Here is a 5,502-nt window from a genome sequence, read left to right as displayed (position 1 = left end):
ATCATTACCTAAGCACATAGTCATCAGGTTATCTAAAGTCAAGATGAAGGAAAGAATCTTAAGAGCTGTGAGGCAGAGGCATCGAGTAACCTATGAAGGAAAACCTATCAGATTAACAGTAGATTTCTCAGCAGAAACCCTACAAGCTAGAAGGGATAGGGGCCCTATCTTTAGCCTCTTTAAACAAAACAGTTATCAATCAAGAATTGTGTATCTAGCAAAACTAACCTGCATATGAAGGTTAGAAGGAAAGACAGTCTTTTTCAGACAAACAAATGCTGAGAGAATTCACCACTACCAAGCCAGCATTACAAGAATGGCTAAAAGGAGCTCTAAATCTTGAAACAAATCCTCAAAATATACCAAAATGGAATCTCCTTAAAGCATAAATCTCACAGGACCTATAAAACAACAACACAATGAAAGAAAAAAAAAACAACAAGCTATTCAGGCAACAAATAGCAAGATGAATGGAATAGCACCTCATATCTCAATACTAGTGTTGAATGTAAATGACCGAAATGCTCCACTTAAAAGATACAGAATGGCAGAATGGATGAAAATTCACCAACCAAGTATCTGCTGTCTTCAAGAGACTCACCTGACACATAAAATCCCACATAAACTTACAGTAAAAGAGTGGAAAAAGATATTCTAGGCAAATGGACACCAAAACTGAGCAGGATTAGCTATTCTTACACCACACAAAACAAACTTTAAACCAACAACAGTTTTAAAAGGCAAAGAGGGACACTGTATAATAATAAAAGGTCTAGGCCAGGTGTGGTGGCCATGCCTGTAATCCCAGCACTTTGGGAGACTGAAGCAGGTGGATCACCTGAGGTCAGGAGTTCAAGACCAGCGTGGCCAACATGGTGAAACCTTATCTCTACTAAAAATACAAAAATTAGCTGGGCATGGTGGCAGGCGCTTGTACTCCCAGCTACTAGGGAGGCTGAAGCAGGATAATCTCTTAAACCTGGGAGGTGGAGGTTGCAGTGAGCTGAGATAGTGCCACTGCACTCCAGCTTGCATGACAGAGTAAGACTCTGTCTCAAATAAATAAATAAATAATAAAAGGTCTATCCAACTGGAAAATATCACAACCCTAAATATATACGTACCTAACAGTGGAGCTCCCAAATTTATAAAACAATTGCTGCTAGACCTAAGAAATGAGATAGAGCAACTCAGTAAGAGTGGAGTGCTTCAATACTCCACTGATAGCACTAGACAGGTCATCAAGACAGACAGCCAATAAAGAAACAATGAACTTGAACTATACCTTAGAACAAGTGGACTTAACAGATATTTACAGAACATTCTACCCAATAAATGGAGATGTTGGTTTATAGCAGGGCTACTGATTTGGTAACATTAATTTTATATCCAGAAACTTTGCTGAATTAATTTCCCAGTTCTAGGAGCTTTTTGGATGAGACTTTGGGGTTTTCTAGGTGTATGATCATGTCATCAGCAAACAGCAACAGTTTGACTTCCTCTTTACTGCTTAGGATGCCCTTTATTTATTTCTAGTGTCTGATTTCTCTGGCTAGGACTTCCAGTACTATGTTGAATAGAAGTGGTGAAAGTGGACATTCTTGTCTTGTTCCAGTTCTCAGGGGGGATGCTTTCAACTTTTCCCCATTCAGTATAATGTTATCTGTGGGTTTGTCATAGATGGCTTTTATTACCTTAAGGTATGTCCCTTTTATGTAGATTTTGCTGAGGGTTTTAATCATGAAGGGATGCTGGATTTTGTCAAATGCTTTTTCTGAGTCTATCAAGATGACCATGTGATTTTTGTTTTTAATTCTGTTTATGCAGTGTATCACATTTATTGTCTTGTGGATATAAAACCAACCCTGCCTCTCTTATGTGAAACCCACGATCATTGTGGATTATCATTTTGATATGCTATTGGATTCAGTTAGCTATTATTTTGTTGAGGAGTTTTGCATCTATGTTTGTCAGGGATATTGGCCTGCAGTTTTATATTTTTGTTATGTCCTTTCCTGATTTTGGTATTTTGGTGATACCCACTTCATAAAGTGATTTAGGGAGGATTCCCTCTTTTTGTATCTTTTGCAATACTGTCAATAGAAAAAGTAAAAATTCTAATTTGAAAGCCTAGTAAAATTCAGCTGTGAATCATTTTGGTCCTGGAGGTTTTTTTTGTTATTAACTTTTTTTTTTTTTTTTTTCCCACATGGAGTCTCACTCTCACCCAAGCTGGAGTACAGTGGCATGATCTTGGCTCACTGAAACCTCCACTTCCTGGGTTTAAGCGGGAAGCCTCAGGCTGGGACTACAGGTGCATACCACCAAGACCAGCTAATTTTTTTATTTTTAGTAGAGATGGGGTTTTGCCATATTGGTCAGGCTGGTCTTGAACTCCTGAACTCATGATCTGCCCACCTCAGCCTCCCAAAGTACAGGGATTACAGGTGCGAGCCCACCAGTCCTGGCCTGTTGATAACTTTTAAATTACCATTTCGATATCACTACTTATTATTGGTCTGCTCAGAGTTTCTATTTCTTCCTGGTTTAATCTATGAGTGTTGTATATTTTAAGGAATTTATCCATCTCCTCCAGGTTTTCTAGTTTGTGTGTATAAAGATGTTCATAGTAGCCTTGAATGATTATTTGTATGGCTAAAACAAGATAGGCTTGGTGGCTCACACCTGTAATCCCAGCACTTTGGGAGCCTGAGGCAGGCTGATCATAAGGTCAGGAGTTTGAGCCCAGTCTGGCCAACATAGTGAAACCCCTTCTCTACCAAAAATACAAAAAATTAGCCAGGTGTGGTGGTGTGCACCTGTAACCCCAGCTACTCAGGAGGCTGAGGCAGGAGAATCACATGAACCTGGGAGGCAGAGGTTGCAGTGAGCCAAGATTGCACCATTGTACTCCAGCTTAGGTGACAGTGCAAGACTCTATCTCAAAAAAAAAAAAAAAAAAAGAAAGAAAAGAAAAGAAAATCAAGACTAAGCAAAAAGAACCAATCTTGAGGCACCACACTACCCAACTTCCAACTATAATATAAGGGCATAGTCAGCAGAACAGCATGGTACTGGCACAAAAATTGGTGTAAAGACCAATGGAAAAGAATAGAGAACCCAGAAATAAAGCCAAATACTTACAGTCAACTGATCTTTCACAAAGCAAACAAAAACATAAAGTGGGGAAGGGACACTCTGTTAAACAAATTGTCCCAGGATAATGTGCAAGCCACATGTAGAAGAATGAAACTCAATCTTCACCTCTCACCCCATACAACTCAAAGTGGATCAAAGACTTAAATCTAAGACATGAAACCATAAAAATTTTAGAAGGTAACATTGGAAAAACCCTTCTAGACATTGGCTTAGGCAAAGACTTCATGACCAAGATCCCAAAAGCAAACACAACAAAAAACAAAGATAAATAGATGGGACTTAATTAAACTAAAAACCTTCAGCACAACAAAAGAAATAATCAGCAAAGTAAACAGACAACCCACACAGTGGGAGAAAATTTTCACAATCTATACATCCAACAAGGACTAATATCCAAAAGCTACAAGGAACTTAAGCAAATCAGCAAGAACAAAGCAAACAATCCCATTAAAAAGTGGGCTAAGGACATGAATAGACAATTCTCAAAAGAAGATATACAAATGGCCAACAAACATATGAAAAAATGCTTAACATCACTAATTATAAGGGAAATGCAAATTGAAATCACAATGTGATAGCATCTCACTCCTGCAAGAATGGTCATAATAAAAAAATAAAAAAAATAGATGTTGGTTGAAGTGGTAAAAATGGAACACTTTTACACTGTTGGTGGAAATGTAAACTAGTACAACTACCACTATAAAAAACAGTGTGGAGATTCCTTAAAGTACTAAAAGTAAATCTACCATTTGATCCAGCAGTCCCACTACTGAGTATCTATCCAGAGGAAAATAAGTCATTATACAAAAAAGATACTTGCACATGCATGTTTATAGCAGCACAATTCACTATTGCAAAAATATATAATCAGCCCAATATAGAACCATCAATCAATGAGTAGAAAAAATATAGAACCATCAATCAATGACTGGATAAAGAAAATGTGATATATATATATATATAATATGTATATTACCTGAATATATATATAATGTGTGTGTGTATGTATGTATATATATATATATATATATATACCATAGAATACTGATAAGCCATAAAAAGGAACAAAATAATGGCATCTGCAGCAACCTGGATGGAATTGAAGACCATTATTCTAAGTGTATTAACTCAGAAATGGAAAACCAAACACCTATATTCTCACTCATAAGTGAGAGTTAAGTTATGAGAATGCAATGTCATAAGAATAATACAATGGACTTTGGGGACTCAGGGAAAGGGTGGGAGGCAGGTGAGGGATTAAAGTTTATACACTGGGTACAGTGTACACTGCTCGGGAGATGGGTGCACCAAAATTTCAGAAATCACCACTAAAGAACATATTCATGTAAGCAAACACCACCTGTTCCCCCAAAACCAATTGAAATAAATTTAAAAAAGAAAAAGAATCCTACTTAAACTACCACAAATAAAAATGAAATACTTATGAATAAATTTAACCAAAGAGCAGAAAGATTTTTACATTAAAATCTATAAAAGAAATTGAAGGAGATAGAAATAAATGGAAAGATGTCTTATGCTCTTGGATTGGAAGAATTACTATTGTTTAAATGTCCATACTACCCAAAATGATCTAACAGTTCAGTGCAATCACTATCAAAATCCCAATGACATTTTTCACAGAAAAAGAAAAACAATCCTAAAATTTATACAGTATTACAAAAGATTTCAAATAGCTAAAGCAATCTTGAGAAAGAAGATCACAGCTGCAGACATCACATTTCCTGCTTTCAAGCTATATTACAAAGCTATACTACTAAAAACAGTATGCTACTAGCATTAAAAAAAACACATAGAAAAATATAAGAGAATAAAGAAAAGAGAAACCCATAAGTGTATAGTCGACTAATCTTTGACAATGGCATAAAGAGAACATAATGGGGAAAAGTATAGTATTGTCAATTGATAGTGTTGGCAATAATGGTTATCCACATTCCAGTGAATAAAACTGAATCTTATCATACACCATATACAAAAATTAACTAAAAATAAACTTATATGTGAGACCTGAAAGTATAAAATTCCTAAACAAAACCATAAGGAAAAAACTCCTTGACACTGGTTTTGACAATTATTTTTAAAATATGACCTGAAAATTACAAGTAACAAAAGCAAAGACAAACAAGTAGTACATCAAACTAAAAAATTTCTGCACAGCAAAAACAAACAAACAACAACAAAACAATAAACAGAGTGAAGAGACAATCTATGAAATTAGAGAAAATATTTGCAAGTTATGTATTTGATAAGGGGTTAATATCAAAAATATATAAGAGGCCGGGCGCGGTGGCTCACGCCTGTAATCCCAGCACTTTGGGAGGCCGA

The sequence above is a fragment of the Homo sapiens genome, chromosome 4, assembly GCF_000001405.40.
Source record: "Homo sapiens chromosome 4, GRCh38.p14 Primary Assembly".
Taxonomy (NCBI): domain Eukaryota; kingdom Metazoa; phylum Chordata; class Mammalia; order Primates; family Hominidae; genus Homo; species Homo sapiens.
Note: the sequence above shows the minus strand (reverse complement) of the source record.